Genomic DNA, 20587 nt, shown 5'->3' with positions numbered 1-20587 from the left:
GAGGAGGGAGTAATAGGGTAAGGGAGATGAAGAGAAGGGCAAGGAGGGGAGGGAGTAGATAAGGGACAAGGAGGGAGGAAAAGAGAGGAGAGGAAGACGAGGAAGTGGGAGGGTGAAGATAGGGAAGGGGATGGCCCAGAGGTATTCATTTGAAACAGCCCCAGCAGGACTGATTGTAGCAGTGGCTGTCCAGTGAGAGAGAAAGGAAAGAATCAAGAACAAATTCTAGATTTTTGACGTGGGAAACTGGGAGAAGTTGGGGACTTTTCCCATCTCAGTGCTTTTCACTGAGAGAAGAAAAGGAAGAGTCATATTTGAGTGTGAAAACGAGAGTCGCCTTTGAGATCTATTAAGTTTAATATGCTTCATTAGGAAGCTCCCTCATTTCCCCCGTAGCATCAACATTCTTTCTAAAACATTTGGAAAGTATTATGATTTTTATTGTAGAGTCCCCCGACCCCAACAATTTTCTTTACTTTTTTCCTATTCATTGGTCATGGAAGTTGCTTCCAATTTTCAGCTATTGTGAATAATGGGCTCTTTAAAGCATAGAACAGAGCTGGTTTGCAACGAACATTCTGTACACAGGTCTTTGTCAGCATCTCTGAATATTATATTCCTAAAAATTCCCAGAGGTACGATTTGTAGGTCAAAGGCTGTAAACATTTTACAGCTTCTTAATACATATTGCCAAATGATGCTGCAAAAAATGGCACCATGTACATTTTTCAAGAGAAGCATCAAAGGATCTCACTGGTCCTCGCCACCTGGACTATTGTAATGGTCCTGAATTGTTGCTAATTAGATGTGCAGAAAATACTATTTTATGTTCATATCTGGATAAAGTACCCATGAGGGTTTTGACTAATGTATAGAGGAGAAGAATCCTTTTTAAGGATTTAGATGTGATTTTACTGAGTTGCAGATGTCTTCTTCCCCACAGTACCTTGGGGAACTGAATACAGGTGTGGAGGCCACCCAGCTTGTGTCTGTGTTTACTGTCCTTCTCTGATTGGAAGCCTCCCCATCTTATTCCATTATACTTTGCTACTGTTCTCCCACTTAGCTGACCTGTCACCTCTTGCCCGAGAGTCTCAGGGTTAGTAATGGATTTCATGACTGCACACTTTAGTAATGAAGAACTCCATTATCACCGGAAGGGGAGTGATCCTTCTGTGGTGTCTGAGCCAAGACAGGACAACATGGAAGCCCAGCACGTCAAGGTCCAGGAGCATGTTCAGTGGCTGGGCCTGGGGGCAGGAGGAAGAGAAGAGACAGATGCAGGGAGAGCCCCCCCATCCTGCCCCCACCATGATTACTCATCCTTCTTTGTAGTTACATTACTTCATTGTATTACCTGGAAATAACCTGTCTCCTTGGTTAATGGTCTATTCTTTGGGAGACAGCTTTAGAGGCCGGCAGACCTAAATTCTAATCCTTCTACCTGATGTTGGGCAAGTCACTTGTGGCTTTGGAGCCTCAGTTCCTAATCCGAAGTGAATCTCACAGTGGCCACCTCCCAGGGATGCTGTGCTAGATGAACTGCCTGAGTTGGGTAGCTGGGCCAGGCTCTAGGTCACGGTGAGATGCTGCAGCTGTGGCTGTACCCTGTTAGTGCTGGGTCTGGAATCCCAGCCTCCAACACAGCTGTGATTAAAGAATGCCTGGAAGGAGCAATGCACGAGGAAGGAGAAGGATGAAAAGTTCGAGGTTAGCATCAGATGACTGGGGACTTGGCTTTCCTCTGGCTACTTCCCAGCTACTTTGGGCTCTGACACCTCTGGCCGGCCACACACACACCCTGAGCACTCACCATCTCCCGGAACTCAGTAGCCTGATGGCCCAGGATGACTGAGTGCCGGCAGATCTGGCAGGAACAGCTTGTGGATGGCATGGGTGGCCAGGGTCTCTGCCTGATAAAGGGAATGTTCTTCCCTCAGGAAAGCGGCCCAGGTGTCCTGGAGCAAAGGACTATACTGGAATAGGTTGGTGCCTGCAGCCTAGAGCTTGGACAGTTTCGGCAGCCAAATGAATCCTGGGGTTCCCAGTATTTGGGAAGAGGTTAAGGTATGTGGGAAGAGGCCAAAAACATAAGGAACCTCCCCGTGGCGTCAGGGTCCTGCTCCACACAGACAGAATCTGAGACGCCCTCCCCGGGGCACCTGGTTCTTCTCCAGTCCCTTGTCACCTCCCAAGCGGGCCTCGGAAAAGGCAGGTCTGAGGATGCGCACCGACGCGGGACCTAGTGCAGGCTGGTGGAGCCCCCTCCGCGGTCCTCTGAGTACAGCTGCCGGTGCCCACCTCTGAGGCAGAACTTGAGGAAAATGGGGTCAAATGGAAGGTACTGGTATCGGGACACACGCGGGGAGGCCTCCAAACACCCTTTCAAGATGGTTCGTGTTGACCCCGATAGGTCTCGTGTTGGAGGGGCAGGCACTGGGGGTTGCTGGTCGACCCGCATGTTGCCCCACCACAGAGCATCCAGGGCTAAGAGCGCGACAAGAGCCTCCTCCGACCTTAAGCTGTAGGTCCAAGCTCCCACGAACAGATGGGGAGCGAATGCTTTGCTAGCAGGCGGAACAATCCTGCTAACGCTAGGGACATCCTGGAACTCGACGCTGGTGCACAGCGGCCACTTCTCTCTCTCGCGGGAGCTCCAGAGAACAAGTGCAATACGTAACATCGGCCGCCAGGTGGAGCCCGACAACGGCGCAAATGGCAGTAGTCCATGTCGGATCGCTTCTCAGACCTGAGTGGGTGGAGCGCGTCTGGCTCCTCTCCGAGCTCCGGGTCAGCACGACGCGTCCCCAGCAGCATAAGGGAAGGCTGACTGCTGGGAAGAGTACAGACTCTCCCTACGTGATTCCCAGTCTGGCCCGTGGAAAATGTAACCGCGAGCCTGCGGGCCGGGCGCCCTGCCAGGCCGGGCTTTCCAGAGCCGCGCAAGCGGACTTAGAAAATACCGTGCCCTCAGGTATGGGATGAAAAACTGCAACCATGAAAGCTTTGTTGAAAACACTTTAATTCTAAAATTTCTGAACAGAGAAGATCTTTAAAGCATAGAACAGAGCCCGTCACGGTTGTTCACGCCTGTAATCCTAGCGACTTGGGAGGCTGAGGCGAGAGGATCGCTTGAGGCTAGCAGTTTGAGACCAGCCTGGGCAACACAAATAGACCGCTGTCTCTTAAAATAAAAATAAAAAGGCATGTATACAACAAAGACAACTCGAAAGCCATCAAGGACACGATTGATTAACTTGATAGCATAAAGTTTAAAGAAAATTTATCTGTGCACGTACCAGGACAAAGTCAAATGACAACAAATGGGTGTGGGGAACATCGGTGCAAATACATGCGTGATAAGAATACTGATTTCACCATTACTTCTAATAACAAAAAATAAAGAAAACATAGCCATTCAGAGGAGCCAGGTTTAAAAAATTCTGGTACATCTATACAGTACCGTTAATTTATGTTTTGGTTTATTTCTTCAGGGCGGGAGACTTACATGTAGTAACATGGAAAAATGTCCATGATGAAACAGTAAATGAAAATAGCAAATTCATGAGAATGCAAATTAGAATCATACTGCGATACCATGAATGCCTTAGACAAAATAGTCTTCAAAAGTGAAGGAGAATTAAACACTTTTTTTTTTCTTTCTGAGATGGAGTCTCACTCTGTCACCCAGGCTGGGGTGCAGAGTGCAATGGCGTGATCTTGGCTCACTGCAACCTCCGCCTCCCAGGTTCAAGTGATTCTTCTGCCTCAGCCTCCCGAGTAGCTGGGATTACAGGCACACACCACCAGGCCCAGCTAATTTTTGTATTTTTAGTAGAGGTGGGTTTTCACCATGTTGGCCAGGCCAGTCTTGATCTCCTGACCTCAAGTGATCCACCTGCCTTGGCCTCCCAAAGTGCTGGGATTACAGGTGTGAGCTACTGTGCCTGGCAGAGACTTTTGTAGAAAACAAAAATTGAGGCAATTTGTTGCTGGTAGACCTGCATGCAAGAAATGTTGGAATAAGTTAAAAGAAGTTCTTAAGAGAAAAGTAAGACATTTGGATCTACATAAAGGAAGAATATAAAAAATGAATATATGAATGTGAAGTAAAAACTTTGCATTTTCTTATTTTCAATTGATATAGCAGCTAATAAATAATTTGTTCAAAATAATGATAGCAATAGTTATTAGATGTTTATAATTTATTGATAAGTTAAATGAATAATAGCAATGATATAAACTAGGAGGGAAGAGTTAGAAATATTTTGTTATTATAAAATACTTGCACTACTCATAAAGCAATATAGTATTACTTGAAAGTAGACTTGTACTAATGGTAAATGTACATTCCAAAATCTAGGGCAACCAATAGAAAGGTTTTTTAACAGTAAAAAGAAAGGAAGAATTTACATGTTTAAATGGGAGAGAAAATGGAACCATATAAAATGCTCAATTAAAACCACAAAAGGCAGGAAAAGAGTGGAAGGCAAAAATAGGAAGAAAAAAACAGGACAACAAATAGAGAATAATAACAGACATGATAAATACCAATCTAACTGCATCTGTAATCACCTTTAATGTCAATGCTCTACATACACCAATTAAAGACTGAGTTCATCTGAGTTGATCCCCCACAAAAAAGACCCAACTATACATTGTTTACAAGAAACTCACTTTAAATGCAAAGACATATAGTTTTGAAGTAGGAAATGGAAAAAGATATACAAGGTTAACAATAATTAAAAGAAAGCTGAAGCAGCTATATTAGTTTTCAGACAGAGTAGACTTCGGAGAGAAAAGATAATTCTGGATGAATATAGGCACTGCTTGATAACAAAAAGTGAATTATCTGAGAAAATGTAACAATTCTTAATGTGTGTGCACCTAACAAGAGTGGTAAAATATGTGAGGCAAAAAACTGATAGAACTGCAAGGATAAATAAAAGAATTCACAATCATAGTTGTAAACATCAACACCCTCTATCAGAAATGGAGAGATCCAATAGATAGAAAATCAATAAAATATGGTAGAACTAAACAGCATCATCAAACAACTGGAAGTAATTAACATCTATAGCCTACTTAGTGTAATGACAGCAGAATACATATTCTTTTCACTCTCACATGGAGCATTCACCAAGATAGGCCACATTCTGGGCCATAAAGCCCACCTTAACACATTTCAAAGTATAAAAACCATGCCATACCTGCTCTCCGAAAACACTGGAAACTATTATACAAACCAGTAATAGAATGATAGCTGGGCAATCTCAAAATACTTGGATATTCAGAAATACACGTCTAAATAACATAAGGGTCAAGAAGAAATCTCAACAGAAATTAAAATAATTCTTTGAACTACATGAAAACAAAAATACAACTAATGTCTCCAAGAGTTTCTTACTTCCCCTATGGGAATGTCTGTATTTCCTACAGAGATCAGTCAAAGCTGGACAGGGAGCCTCCAGGAAGGGTCTCTGACATGGCTACAGTTTTGCGTGGGGCACAGTTGCATACAGCACTCCCTAAAACGTTTCTCTTTCCCAATTAGCTAGCTGAGACATTCCCTAACTAGTCATGGAGGCCAGGGTGGGCATCCCTTCCACCTGGTGGACTGAGTGGGGATTGGTCATAGGAGGCACCCTGCAAAATTTATCTAAACCCCTCTCTGGAGGCCAGGACAAATCTGAATGGACCATGGAACTGGGGAGAGCCTGGATGGGAGCCAGTGGTCAGGAAGGCTTTGGGGGCTGCTCAGATGGGGCCAGGTGTGAAGGCCTGAGAAGGGTACCTTGTTGCATGGGTCTGGTTGGCCCGATGAGTCTCCAGAAAGTTTCTTAAGACCCCTGGTTGGGGGGGGGACTGCATCTGGCTAGAAAGTGAAGGCCCCAGGGATGGGTTTGGTGCCCTACTTTCCACTCCAGTCCAAAGCAGTGCCTGTCATCAGAGGCACCAGAAAATATGTTCTAAGTACTCCCTGTTTGTGGGCACCAGGTAAGGATGCCCAGTAAGGCCTGGGAAGGCCTTGTGAATCCGGTCACAGTTCTTCCTGGCCTTGTCTATGGCATGCAAATTCTTTGAATGTTTGCAAGTCCCTCTCTGGAGGAGCAGCAAAGGCCTGAGTGGCTGAGTAGGCCTATTATTTTTATTTATATTATTGTATATGAAATTATTACTTATGTTATTTTTGTTATTATAAGAAGATGTAAAGTGTGACATCAAAAACATCAAACATGGGAGAAAAGGAAGTTAGAGTGAAAAGTTTGTGTATGCAACCAAAATTAACTGTTATCAGCTTAAATTAACCTGTTATAAGTATAACATGTTTTATGTAAGCCACAGGGTAGTCACAAAGCAAAACCTGTAATGGATACACAAAAGATAAAAGGAAAAGAACCAAAACATACTACTACAGAGAGCCATGAAGCCACAAGAGAAGAAAGCAAGAGAAGAAGAAGGGACCAAAGGCTCTACAAAGCAACTAGAAAACACTTTAACAATGGCAAGAGTAAGTTCATACGTGTCAATAATAACCTAGAATGTAAATGGATTAAATTCTGCAGTTAAAAGATACATAGTGGCTAAATGAGGTATTTTTTTAAAGACCCAGCTATATGCTGCCTACAAAAGACTCACCTCACCCGTAAGGACACATGAAGATATTCCATACAAATGGAAAGCAAAAGAAAGCAGCAGTAGTTGTACTTTTATCAGATAAAATAGACTTCACATTAGAAATCCTAAAAAGAGACAAAGGAGATTATTATATAATGATAAAAGGATCAATTCAGCAAGAAGGTATAACAATTATGAGTATACACCCACCCAACACCAGAGCAAATACTAGATCTAAAGGGAGAGACAGACTGCATTTCAATAATAGGAGACTTCAACACCCTACTTTCAGCACCGAACAGATCATCCAAAGAGAAAATCAGCAAAGGAACATTGGACTTAAACTACACTCTAGAGCAAATAAACCTAACTTTTACAGAAAATGTCATTCAACAGCTGGAGAACGTGTATATATTCTTCTCATGAGCACATGGAGCATTCTTCAGCATAGACCATATGTTAGGCCACAAAACAAGTCTCAACACATTTTTAAAAATTAAAATCACATCAAGTATCTTTTTTGACCACAATGGAATAAAACTAGAAATCAATAACAAGAGGAACTTTGGAAAATGCACCAATACAACATGCTCCTGAACAACCAATGGGTAAATAACGAAATTAAAAAGAATATTTAAGAATTTCTTAAAACAAATAAAAATAGAAACACAACATACCAAAATTTATGTTATATATCAAAAGCAGCAGCAGTACTAAGAGGGGTAGTTTATAGAAATAAATGCCTATATAAAAAGGTAGAAAGATTTCAAATATAATGATGCACCTCATGAAACTAGAAAAGCAAGAATAAATCAAACCCAAAATTACAGGAAGAAGAAATACTAAAGATCACAACAAAAATAAATAAAATTGAGACTAAAAATATGAAAGATCAACCAAATGAAAATATTGTTTTGAAAAGGTAGACAAAATCAACAAATCTTTAGGTAGACTAATGAAAAGAAAAACTCAATGGAATAGAATCAGAGATAAAAAGGAGATATTACAACTGATAAAACAGAAATACAAAAGGTCATTACAGACCATTATGAACAATTTACATCAACAAATTGAAAACTTATAAAATAGATATATTCTTGGACACATATAACCTACCAAGATTGAACCATGAAGAAACAGGAAACCTGAATAGAACAATAATGAATAATGTGATTGAATCAGTAATAAAAAGTCTAACAAAGAAAAGTCTAGGACCATATGGCTTTACAGATGAATCCTACCTAACTTTTAAAGATAAGCTAATGCCAATTATTCTCAAACTATTTTGAAAAATCAAAGGGGAGAGAATGCTTCCAAATCTTTTTTAAGGCCAGCATTACCCTGATACCAAAACCAGACAAGGACACAACAAAAAAAACTATAGGCCAATATTTTTAATGAGCATAAATGCAAAACTCTTTTAAAAAAAAACCCTAGAAAACAAAATCCAACAGCACAGAAAAAAGATTATACACCATGATCAGGTGGTATTTTCCCCCAGGGATGCAAGGATGCTTCAACCTACAAATATCAATAAATGTGATACATCACATACATCACATCAAGAGAATAAAGAACAAAACCTTGTGATTATCTCAATAGACGCAGAAGTAGTATTTGATAAAATTCAACTCCTCTTTGTGATTAAAAAAAACCCTCTCAACAAATTAGGTATAGAAAGAACATACCTTAAAACATTAATGTTCATATACGATAAACCCACGGTTAACATCGTACTGAATAGGGAAAAGTTGAAAGCCTTTTCTCTAACATAGAACAAGACAAAGATATTCACTTTCCCCTAAGATCCTTTCTCTAAGATCTAGAACAAGACAAGGATATTTACTTTCACCACTTTTATTGAAAAGTGGTCAATCACATCGTTTTCTTTTATTGAAAAGTGGTGAAAGAGTCCTAGACAGAGCTATTAAAAAAGAAATAAAGAGCATTGGAAAAGAGGAAGTCAAATTGTCACTGTTTGCAAATGACATGATCTTATATTTAGGATAAGCTAAAGACTTCACTAAAAAGCTGTTACAACTGGTTAACTATTTCAGCAAAGTGGCAGAATACAAAATCAACATACAAAAACCAGTAGCGTTTCCATATGCCAATAGTGAACAATCTGAAAATCAAGGAAGCAATCCCATTCACCATAGCTACAAAAATATAAAATGCCTAGGAATAAATTTAACCAAAGAGGTAAAAGATCTGTACAATAAAAACTGTAAAACACTGATAAAAGAAATTGAAGAGGACACAAAAAACAAAAAAACTCATATTCATGAATTAGAAAAATTAATATTGTTAAAATGTCCATACTACCCAATGTTAACTATAGACTCAAGACAATTCCTATCAAGTGACATTCTTCACAGATATAGAAAAAGCAAGCCTAAAATTCATGTGAAATCACAAAAAAGCCTGAGTATACAAAGCAACCCTGAACAAAAAGAACAAAGCTGGAGACATCACACTATCTGACTTCAAAATATACTACAAAGCTGCAGTGATAAAAAATAAAAAGCATGTTTATGGCATAAAAACAGACATATACACCAAAGGAACGAAATAGAGAACACAGAAACAAATCCATGTATTTATAGCCAACTGATTTTCATCAAAGGCCCTAAGAACATACACTGGGGAAAGAACAGTATCTTTAATAAATGGTGCTGGGAAAACTGAGTAACCATATGCAGAAGAGTGGAGCTTGACCCTGATCTCTCACCATATACAAAAATCAACTTAAAATGCATTACAGAGTTAAATGTAAGCCTCAAAACTGTGAACCTACTAGAACAAAACTTAGGTAAAATCCTTCGAGACATTGGTCCGAGCAAAGATTTATTGAGTAAGACCTCAAAAGCACAGGAAACCACAGCAAAAATTGACAAATGGGATTACATCGAGTGAAAAACCTTCTGCACAGGAAAGGAAAAAATCAACAGTGTGAAGAGACAACCTACAGAATGGGAGAAAATATTTGCAAAGTATTCATCTGATAAGGGATTAATAATCAGAATACACCATGATGCTCAAACAACTCAATAGCAAAAAAAAAAAAACAACAACAAATACTCTGATTTTGAAAGGGGCAAAAGATCTGAATAGACATATTTCTCAAAAGAAGAAAATCAAATGGCCAACACATAAATGAAAAAATGCTCAACATGATTGATGATCACAGAAATGCAAATCAAAATCACAATGAGATATCCTTGCACCCCAGTTAAAGTGGCTATTATCAAAAAGACAGAAAATGACAAATGATAAGGAGGATGTGGAGAAAGGGAAGTGCTCATACACTGCTGGTAGGAATGTAAATTCGTACAGCTACTGGAAATCTCCACACTGAAAAGCACTGTGGAGATTTGTCAATAAAACTAACCATAGAACTACCATATGATCCAGCAATCCCACTAGTTGGTATATGGCCAAAAGATAAGAACTCAGTGTATCAAAGAGATATCTGCATTCCCATGTTTATTGCAGCAGCACTATTCACAATAGCCAAAATATGGAATCAACCTAAGTATCCATCAATGAATGAATGGGTAAAGGAAATATGGTATATATACACAATGGAATATTATTCAGCCAGAAGAAAGAATGAAATTCTGTCATTTGTAGCAACATAGATGGAATTGGAGGACATTATGTTAAGTGAAATAAGCCAGATACAGAAAGACAAATATCATGCTTTTACTCATATGTGTGGGCTAAAAAAATGGGAGGTAGTGAACAGAATGGTGTTTAGCAAAAACTGGGAAGGGTAGTGGGAGGAGGGCACGAAAAGGGTTGGTTAATGGATATAAAATGCAGTTAGATAGATAGAAGGAGTAAGATCTAGTGTTTGGTAGCACAATAGGGCAACTATAGTTAACAGTAATTTATTTTGTATTTCACAACGTTCTCAACACAAGAAAACAATAAATGTTTGAGGTAATGAATATCCCAGTTACCCATATCTGATCATTACACACTGTATGCTTGTATCAAAATATCACAGGTACTCTATAAATATGTACAACTATTATGTTTTCATAAAAATTAAAAATAAAAACTAGACTATTAATTGTTCTACTTTGTGGACATAAAATATCTTTCCATTTATTTGTGTTTTCTTCCATTTTCTTTCATCAGTGTTTTATAGTTTTCAGTATACAGTTCTTTCACCTCCTTGGTTAAATTTACACCTAAGTATTTTATAAGTTTTTTGTTGCTATTGTAATTGGATTGCATTCTTTTTTTTTTTTCTGCCTCCCAGGTTCAAGCGATTCTCCTGCTTCAGGCTCCCGAGTAGCTGGGATTACAGGCACCTGCCATCATGCCCGGCTAATTTTTTTTGTATTTTTTAGTAGAGACAGGGTTTCACCATGTTGATCAGGCTGGTCACTCTAATTCCTGACCTCAGGTGATCTGCCCACCTCGGCCTCCCAAAGTGCTGGGATTACAGGCGTGACCGCCGCGCCCAGCCGGGATTGTATTCTTAATTTCCATTTTGGATAGCTCACTATCAGTTTATAGAAATGGTAAATCACCCTTTGTGGATAAAGCATGGGTACTCAGCAATTAGGAATAAACCCTTCAGCTAATGTCTAAGTTGCTTTCATTGTTACTTTATCTGTTTGATTTCTTGTCTAAAGTTTGATAATGGCAACTAACCCATTTTTAAGAGAAATTAAAGTGGATAACATGCATGTGATATTCTGTGAAAATTGCATGACTTCTTTTAATTAATTTAAGGAAACTATAGATGTGTAGTTAGGGCTTTAAACCAAACTGGTGCAATTTATTTTCTGCTAAATTACAAAGTTATTTGATTGAATTGACAAGTAATATTGCTTTGTTTTATTTTTAATTCCTTACTGTGCAAATTCACATTTGGGGAATGGAAGATTATATAGGAAACCTTGAACCACCTTTAAATAACTATATTTTTATTTATTAAGCCACAAACAGTTTAGTTATGTTGTTATGAGCAAATATATTTACTATTTTTTCTCTGCAATAGGAATAGAGATTTCTTTTGCTCTTCTATCTCAACTGAAAAGCATATGTTTTCTGGATCACTGCCATTGGCTCCTTCCATAGTATTTAATAAATATATGCATTTCATAGTGTTAGGCTTGTATAAATACACTACTAACTTCTCTTCACTATAAATGAACTTGAGCAACTCTCATATCTACAATTTCTAGCACCAGAAAAGTGACATTTTCCTTTAAGATGGGGAATAGGCCTTTTGAGGTCATGGTGGAGTCATATACTCCCTTTTATGACAATTATTAGCACCACGTGAGGGCAGAGAGGAATGTAAAAAAAGTATCATTTCAAGTTACTAAGCTACAACCTGCCACCACTGATGGCATGTCCACTTACAGCTCACGAGCCAGCTCTTCATCAATAAGTGCTGCTTTGCAGTGGTTTGTAATTGAATTGTATGATGTAAATGTGGAGACAGCCAATCATGATGTTACAGGATCTTTGGGGTGTCGATTTTCTTGCCCAGAAACCTCTGTGGACAGTGGCATCTTTGCCTGAGTTCTTGTCCTGCATCCAGGAGGAATGAGGTACGCAGACAAAGGAATGGCGAAGAAGATTAAGAGGAGTTTTATTTAGTGTTAGAACAGCTCAGAGAAGACCCACAGTGGGTAGCTCCTCTCTGCAGGCAGGTCGTCCGGTGGAGTGTTCAGCTTTCAGCAGAGAGGAGGCCCTGGCGAGTGTGGCTCCTCTCTGCAGGCTGGTCATTTGGAGGTCTCTGCAGGTCTCTGAAGCTCTCAGTAGAGGGGAGAGTTCGTCTCTGCAGCTGGTCATCCCATCGTCTCTCTGTCCTCTGCCCTCTCTGGCAGAGCCCAGGGCTTTTATGGACCTCAGAAAGGAAGAAGTACCTGCCAACTGGTCCATGAGCAGCCATTGGCGGCCCAGAGGAGGGACAGATCCCCAGTCCTGTCCACAGGATTGGCAGTCTGGCTCCCAGCCTTCAGGCCCTCCCCGGCTTGAAGGTGGGGCTTTACTGGGGACCCATCCGCTTCTGCCCAGGACTCTCCCTCCCCCTGCCATTCAAGTCCCCAGGGCTCGACCAACCCTGTTGGGAGATTAAAGAGGGTGCCAGAAGAGGAGAGAGGCCAGGCAGTGAGAGCAGACATCCCGGAGCCAGCGGGGGGTGGCAGGTGCAGGCTGCCAAGATGCCAGGGTCCTGTGCCTGGGAGGGTGGCCTTAGTTGCACCCAGGGAGCTCCCACCCAGCCAACTCAGAAGGGGCGGGGCTTCTGCTTGTCTCCGTCTCCTGCCTGCTCCATGGAGCCGGAAGCCCAGGTCTGCAGCAGTGGGTTGGGTGGCTGCAGCTGTACCCAGGAGGGCAGATCCTGTCGGTTCCCAGCCCCCTCCAAGAGCACAGGGAAGCTTGGATCCACAGCTGCAGTTTGGGCTGGGCTACAGCCTGCTCCGTAGAGCAGGAGGCCTGGGTCTGCAGCCGCACCAGGGAACTCATACCCCAACTCAGAAGGGGTGGGGCTCCCACCAGCTTCATGGAGTATGCAGGCCCAGCCATGCCTCCCTGCTGTAGCCCGCATGATGGCTGCAGCTGCTGCCATCAATGAGAGAAAAAAAAGACAAAATTTACCAACATCAGTAATGAGAGAGGTGATCTCACTACATACATTACATATATTAAAAGGCATAATAAGAGATTACAATGCAAAGCTGTATGCCAGTATGTTTGACAGCTTAGAAGTAAAGACAAATTCCTTGAAAGATGTAAACTACTAACACTGACTCAAGAAGAAATAGATGACATGAATAGTCTATTAATTAGATTGAGTTTATAGTTAAAAACCTTCCCACAAAAAAAATTCCAGGCCCAGATGGCTTCGCTGGAGTTTTCTAGCAAACATTTAAGGAAGAAATAACAAATAAACATAAACTCATTCAGAAAATTGAAGAGGAGAGAATACTTTTGAACTCATTCTACAAGTCCAGCATTATTCTGACACCACATTCAGACAGACATTTTTTTTTCTTTTTTGAGACGGAGTCTCGCTCTGTCACCCAGGCTGGAGTGCAGTGGCGTGATCTTGGCTCACTGCAACCTCCACCTCCTGGGTTCAAGTGATTCTCCTGCCTCAGCCTCCTGAGTAGGTGGGATTACAGGTGCCCCCCACCATGCCCTAATAATTTTTTGTATTTTTAGTAGAGACAGGGTTTCGTCATTTTGGCCAGGCTGGTCTCGACCTCCTGACCTCATGATCTGCCCACCTTGACCTCCCAAAGTGCTGGGATTATGGGCGTGAGCCACCATGCCCAACCTAGACAGACATTTTTAAAAAGTAAAAATACAGTACTTCATGACCACAGATGCAAAAAAATCTTAACAAAGTTTCAAAAAATTGACTTATACCAGTAATTCAAGTTTAGTTTACCATAATAAAATCAACCAAAGCAATTTGGCATAAAGACAAACATTCTGCAAAACAATTTGGCAGTTTCTTAAATGTTAAACAGATATCTACCATATGACATAGCTATTCTTGTCTAGGTATTTACCCAAGAGAAATGAAAGGATATTTTCATATGACCATCTGTGCATAAATGGTCATAGTAGCTTATTTATAACAGATGAAAACTGGACACAATTCAAATGCCCATCTTCAAATGAATGAACACACAAATTGAGCTATATTCACACAACGAGATACTACTCAGCAATAAAAAGGAATGAATTATTGATACATATTACACATTAATGAATTTCAAAATAATTCTGTTGAAAGAAAAAAGCCAGATAAAGAAAAGTAAATACTGTGTGGTTCCATTTATATGACATTCTGGAAAATAGAAACTAATCATGAGAGAGATCAGATCTGTGGTTGCCAGGGATTTGAGGGAAGCAGGGAGGTTATGGGGGAGGGGTTATCAAGAGGGAGGAGAATATTTTGCTGGGGTGATGGATATATTCCTTATTTTAATTGTGATGATAGTTTCATGGTTGTATACATATGTAAAAATTTAACAAGTCCTGCACTTTAAGCATGTGTGTTCATCATATGCCAATAGAGCCTCAATATGGCTGTTAAACAAAAATTACCGAACTGCTAAATATGTGTATCACTCTAGGAAATGAAAGACACCTCTTCAACTGCTTTTGTGTCTTGACTTTTTTCCCAAAGGAAGATCTATATTTTGCTTCATTTCTTTCTACTCTACATTTCTTTTTACTCTGCTTGCATTTAGTTTAAAAGAAAAAGCTCTCTGTTGGTGATTTCTAATCTATTTTAAAGTAAATAATTGTACTGTCCAATTAGAGACTGAGATAACTCATGAATTATCACACAGGTTGTTCTCCTGTACAATATATATGATTTTGAGTACTAATATTACACAGTGAATTCAGAATTGTGTGTATGTACATACATACCATAGTCTTATAAATAACTTCAACTTGCAATAATTAACTTGCAGTTAATTCTTACAGTAGTATGAGTTTGGGCCTCTTAAAAAAAGAACTAAAACCAACTCCCTGCCTGAGAATAGAAACACACACACACACACACACACACACACACACACCAAATTGAATAATCTTGTTTTCTCGCTTACAATTGTGGGCATTCATTTATGGAATTCTTGGCAGCTATGTTAGCATAAAACCCCACCTATAATTATCATTCATATTAGGATAATATTTCACAAATGTGGTCAGTATTGTCTTCTGCAACATTACAGTTAGTTGGTGGAATAAGTTCTAGTGTTGTACAGCACTATAGGGTAACCACAGTAAACAACAGTGTGTTGTCTTTTTTTTCAGATACCTGGGAGAGAGGATTTTTCATGTTACCAACACAAAGAAATGATAAAGGTTTGAGGTCATGGGCATGCTAATTACCCTGATTTGATCATTATACATTTTATACATCTACTGAAATATCCCACTGTACCCCATAAATATGTACAATTATTATGTGTCAAGTAAAATATGAATATATATAGTAAATAAATAAATGAAGTAATTTGCCATTACTTAACATTTCATTAAATGTATGTTTCCAAAATTATATTTGTTCTTGAGACCTTTTGAGTGATCACAGTTTCTGCTATTCTCCATAAGGCCTCAGTTTGACAGGGTGATGAAATCTTGAATAAAACACAAAGGAATGTGTTTGTATTTGCAGTGCTTCCCTTGCAGGTGAAATGGCCACCAGACCCAGGCTTTCTGGAATGCATTCATTTTCTGCAGTTGAAAGGGACAATCCCGGATCTGAAAGAAAGAGCCACAGTGACTCCAAGAGTGGAGCCAGGGCATGCTGGACACTGCATAGCTATGGCCACGTGTGTCACCTCCGAGGGAGATGTGAGAGAAACGCAGAGGGATCGCTTGTGACTGTGCCTTCTCGATGTATGATGGACTGTTCTGCTCAAATAGTAAGTGTGACCAAGGAGCCGGTGAACATAGGAAACAAAGAATATTTCATTTGACATTATAAGGAATGCGACAATTCTAGTCACTTGAAAGTGAACTATATCTGTCGAGAATTCCTAGTTTTAATTGGGAAGAAATGTGCTTCTCTTCTTGAAAAGCCACAGGTTATTGCTGTTATGTCTAATATCAGTCCTCTCTGGATTTCTCAAAAGATTTTCTGTATATCCTACCATTTTCCTTCTGTTGCTGCAGTTTGGAAGTAGTTTGTTATCAGGATTATCAAAGCATCATTGCTATTTATGACAATGACTTTAAGAAATGCAAGAATATTTGGAACACTGTAGAAAAAATATTTTAGCCTGGAAGGCAAATACTAATTTCAGGAACTATTGATCTGTTATAAAACAGGACCACTCAGACATTTAGCTCTAAGACTTTCACATATCCGTTGTTAGAGGCGTATAGTGGGGGGCATGACTCAGCTTCTGCTTAAGTACAAGGTGTTGTCTGCAGCGAAGGAAGAATTTGATTGTAGTATCAACAGAACCAGACAGAACTCTTTGAATATAATTATATATCTTGGAAACTGACTCATCAAAGCTATTAGATTACATGGCATCATTTAAGCATCACTGGGCTCTGTACTTTTCATTATCTGTACTTTTCATTATGGAGTATAATAGGCTTTATTTGGTACAGAAATTGGGTCTAAGATGAAACAACTTGTGATTTTTGAATAAACTTTTGGGGATTAGTTACTTTGATGTTGTCAAGATAGCACCATAGTAAGTCCTCTGTCTTTCCTCTTGATTTATTTATAATTTAGAATCAGTTTATGATTTTAAAAAATGTGACAGACACAGTGGCATGCACCAGTAGTACCAGCCACATGGGAAACTGAGGCAGAAGGATCACTTGATCCCAGAAGATAGAGACCACCCTGGGCAACATAGTGAGAGCCCCATCTCAAAAAAAAAAAAAAATCAATTCCCAATACCATTCCAGAACACTTTTAATATAACCAGATGAAATTGTGATCACTACTTTACTGTAATGTTTAAAATGGTCCTCAGTCCATATTTAAGTACAATCTTAGTGTTTCTGTGCAACCTAATATATTAGAAACAAAAATTGTATTGCATTTGAATAGGAAATACTCTGAATTGAGGGTTATTTCTTTTAACAGTTGCAATTAGATTGGTTAGTGACAATTATCTGTAATTTTCAGGCAATGCCTAGGCAAGTGCCCAAGGCACAGTAGCCTCCTCCTTGCCTCCGTGTGTGTGTGTGTGTGTGTGTGTGTGTGTGTGTAGGGTGGTAACATTTCTGGGAATTTGTCTTAACATAAAATGATACCACCTTTCACAAAACGACCTAGAGGAAGTTGGAAATCCCACTATCCTGGCTTCCTGCTGAGCAATATCTGCTTCTCTTTCTGACTCAGGCTGATGCATCTGTATACTTAGCTTCACTTCTCCAGTAAATAAGGGAGAGCTTTATTATAAAAGACAACTTCTATTGATTTTCAAGGGGGTGGGTGGTTGTCAAGCTCACTCCTTTCTATGCACTGAGGGAAAATTATTGTAAGCGATCTGTAAAACAATAGATGAAAAAAGAGGAGATAAAAATTAAATAAAATTTAAATAAAAACTAGGATCCTAAGTGGAAAAATAGCTTTAAATTAGAAATTGATACCAAAAAATAATGATATGTAATCTAAGGTGAAAATATTTTGAAGACTATCACGATATCTCCCTTAAATGTTATTTAGTTCTGAAAAATATGTATTGAAGAACTGTTATATTTTACTTTATGTCATATTAAGTGTGGTAAAATTAAAGAGAAACAAGTAGATAAAAGTAAAGATTGTATTATTATTTTATCACTCAGGTTATTTCAAGACTGGAGACATTCTTTAAATAAACCTAAATTATGACTCCTTGCACTTAAGTTTTGCTAACATAAAAAGTATGTATGATTTCAGAGATTTCTGCATATTTTGGAATGAGCTCTTCAGTTGCTTGTAATTTCCAAGAAGATTACCCATTTTACCCCTTAACTAAAACCCCTGTTCCTTTACTGCCTTGCTGCTTCACTTCATGGGGATATGTCACTGACCAGAGGAAAGATCACATTGAATTTCTGAGCCACGCTGTTTTGTATGGTTAAAATAAGATGCTCAAAGTATGATTTCACAAATCACATGGTTATTGCCATGCAAGGAGAATTTGTTTTCTTAAGTTCACAATGCTCAAAAAGGAGAAGAATAATGTGAACAAATCTACAGGGAATACACTCAAAAGATGAGGCACATTAACCACAGAGGGAGTGAGTTCCAAATATTAAAGTCTAGTTCCTGAAGTAGAAATGGAAGCAGGCCTCTGTGGAAAGGCAAATCGAATGAAAGTTTGAGGTGCACCTTTTTTTCAAGCGAATTCTCTGGAGAGATGGTGTCTTGACACCATGGAGATCCTCAAAGACACCTGGGGTCCCTTGACACCAGTGGGTGGTGCCAGTGATGCAGGCGAGGCTTCAAAGCTCAGCTGCTGACAGGGTGGGGCTCTGTTGCTGCATGAGTTCAGTCTTCCAAGAATTGACTGGCAGGGCAACCCTGTCACAGAATATGCTCTCCATTTTTGGAGAAGTGGCTGAGACTTACTGAAGTTCTCAAAGTGTTCATCGAGCTCTTATGTTTATATGTATTTTGAAATCCAGTGGTTGAGGTCAGTAACTCACATATGATGGGTCTGATGAGTTTTGACATTGCATTCTTTTTCCCCCCACGAGACGGTGTCTTGCTCTGTCACCCAGGCTGGAGTGCAGTGGCCTGATCTCAGCTCACTGCAACCTCTGCCTCCTGGGTTCAAGTGTTTCTGCTGCCTCAGCCTCCTGAGTAGCTGGGATTATAGGCACACGCCACCACACCCGGCTAATTTTGTATTTTCAGTAGAGACGGGGTCTACCATGTTGGCCAGGATGGTCTCGAACTGGCTACTCTCAAACTCCTGACCTCATGATCCTCCGTCCTCGGGCACCCAAAGTGCTGGGATTACAGGCAGAAGCCACCGCTCCCGGCAGACATCGCATTCTTGAGGGCTGGAGGGAGTACGGTCTAAGTTCTTGTTACAGCAAAACGTAGCAAACTATGCAAGTCTTTGGAATAATTCCAAAACTACATAATAGACATGAGCTCCAAGCTTACTGATTTATGTGTGTGCCTTCTCTGAGGAATATCTTTTGGTTATCCTTGTGCAACATGGCAAATATGTTTTAAAGTGAATGAGAGTTAATGAGAAAATTAAATTATAAAAATATTATGGCAATGAGGTGGATCATCGCAGTGTTCAAGCTACAGATAAAAATATGACATGCCCTCCAACTTTCATTCTCTTTTATTTTTCAGTAATATTCAAAATATTTATTGCAAAAGTTAGCATTTCAATGATGAAATTAAGATGCCTTTCAGTTCAAGTTTGGCAATTTTACATATTTCATGTGAAACTCTGATTTGAAATGTTGCTGAGGGTCTTTAGTATTGCATATGAATAATAAAAATCAAATTTGCCACATATTGGAATAAGATATACAGTATTTTATATGGCAAATGTTTCTCTTCCTTTTAAGAGAAGAAGAGAAATATTAAGGTGGTTATTACTCAAGTGAATCCTACTTAAAAGTAACTTTCTAATAGTTGAGAAGTCACTTATGCATACCTACGTGAGGAAGAAAGTTGAATTGACTGTCATTCATTCAGCCCAGTGGGACATCAAACTCTCCAAACCTTTCACAGTAGGAAAACAAAGCCAGGCCTCCTTAACTATGCTACATGGCAAGTCAAAACATGAACATAATATCTGAAAAAGCCTGAAAAACATCTCTGGCTAACTAGATCTCATTGCAGGCAGTGAGAGAGTGGTGGCAAATGTGAACATGTCTGTGTGGGGTGGTGGCAGGGGAATTGGAATATACGAATCCAAGGAAAACTGACTCTTGGCAAATTACTTGTTTTGGTGCTCCTCTTCATTTTTTTTATTATGGTAGAAGACTTTGTATACAAATTTCTCACTGTACAAAAAACAAGTTCTTCAGTTATTGCATTTCTGCAATATATTAAAATACACGAGAAAATCACATTAAAAAGAGGCATGATTATAGAAACAAAATGTTATTGCAATACGATATCAACTTATAATTCATAATTATATTTGTAAATATCAAATTATAAGTAATTTATGAGAAATTAGAGCCAAAGCTTTTCATACTTACTTTAGTGTTTTTCTAAAGGGAAAACGTGGTGAAAGAATTGTAGAGAAGACACAGCTTATCATTAATCCATTTGTCTTGATACTTAACACAGTATTGGTGGCGCATTGGTTCCAGGACTCCCTGGGGAACCAAAACCCATGGATGCTTGAGTTCCTTATGTAAATGATGAAGTATTTGCATGTAACCCACACATACACTCTCTCTTTAAATAATCTCTGGATTACTTATAATTCCCAATGCAATGTAAACACTATATAAATCGTTGTTTTACATACTGTTTTAA

General features: G+C 39.5%; 1 pseudogene, besides 2 other annotated features; it reads left to right on the top strand.

Moving 5' to 3' along the window:
* Positions 1772 to 2606: an enhancer, noted in NCBI's record as "H3K4me1 hESC enhancer chr9:41936783-41937617 (GRCh37/hg19 assembly coordinates)". NCBI's record gives its function as "activates a minimal SCP1, AML or CMV promoter by ChIP-STARR-seq in primed H9 embryonic stem cells {active_cell/tissue: H9 hESC(primed)}" and the evidence as "EXISTENCE:reporter gene assay evidence [ECO:0000049][PMID:30033119]".
* Positions 11822 to 16127, top strand: CNTNAP3P6 (CNTNAP3 pseudogene 6; annotated as a pseudogene).
* Positions 12379 to 12930: an enhancer, noted in NCBI's record as "H3K27ac-H3K4me1 hESC enhancer chr9:41926459-41927010 (GRCh37/hg19 assembly coordinates)". NCBI's record gives its function as "activates a minimal SCP1, AML or CMV promoter by ChIP-STARR-seq in primed H9 embryonic stem cells {active_cell/tissue: H9 hESC(primed)}" and the evidence as "EXISTENCE:reporter gene assay evidence [ECO:0000049][PMID:30033119]".

The sequence above is a fragment of the Homo sapiens genome, chromosome 9, assembly GCF_000001405.40.
Source record: "Homo sapiens chromosome 9, GRCh38.p14 Primary Assembly".
NCBI lineage: Eukaryota > Metazoa > Chordata > Mammalia > Primates > Hominidae > Homo > Homo sapiens.
This window is presented reverse-complemented; position numbering and strand designations above follow the sequence as displayed.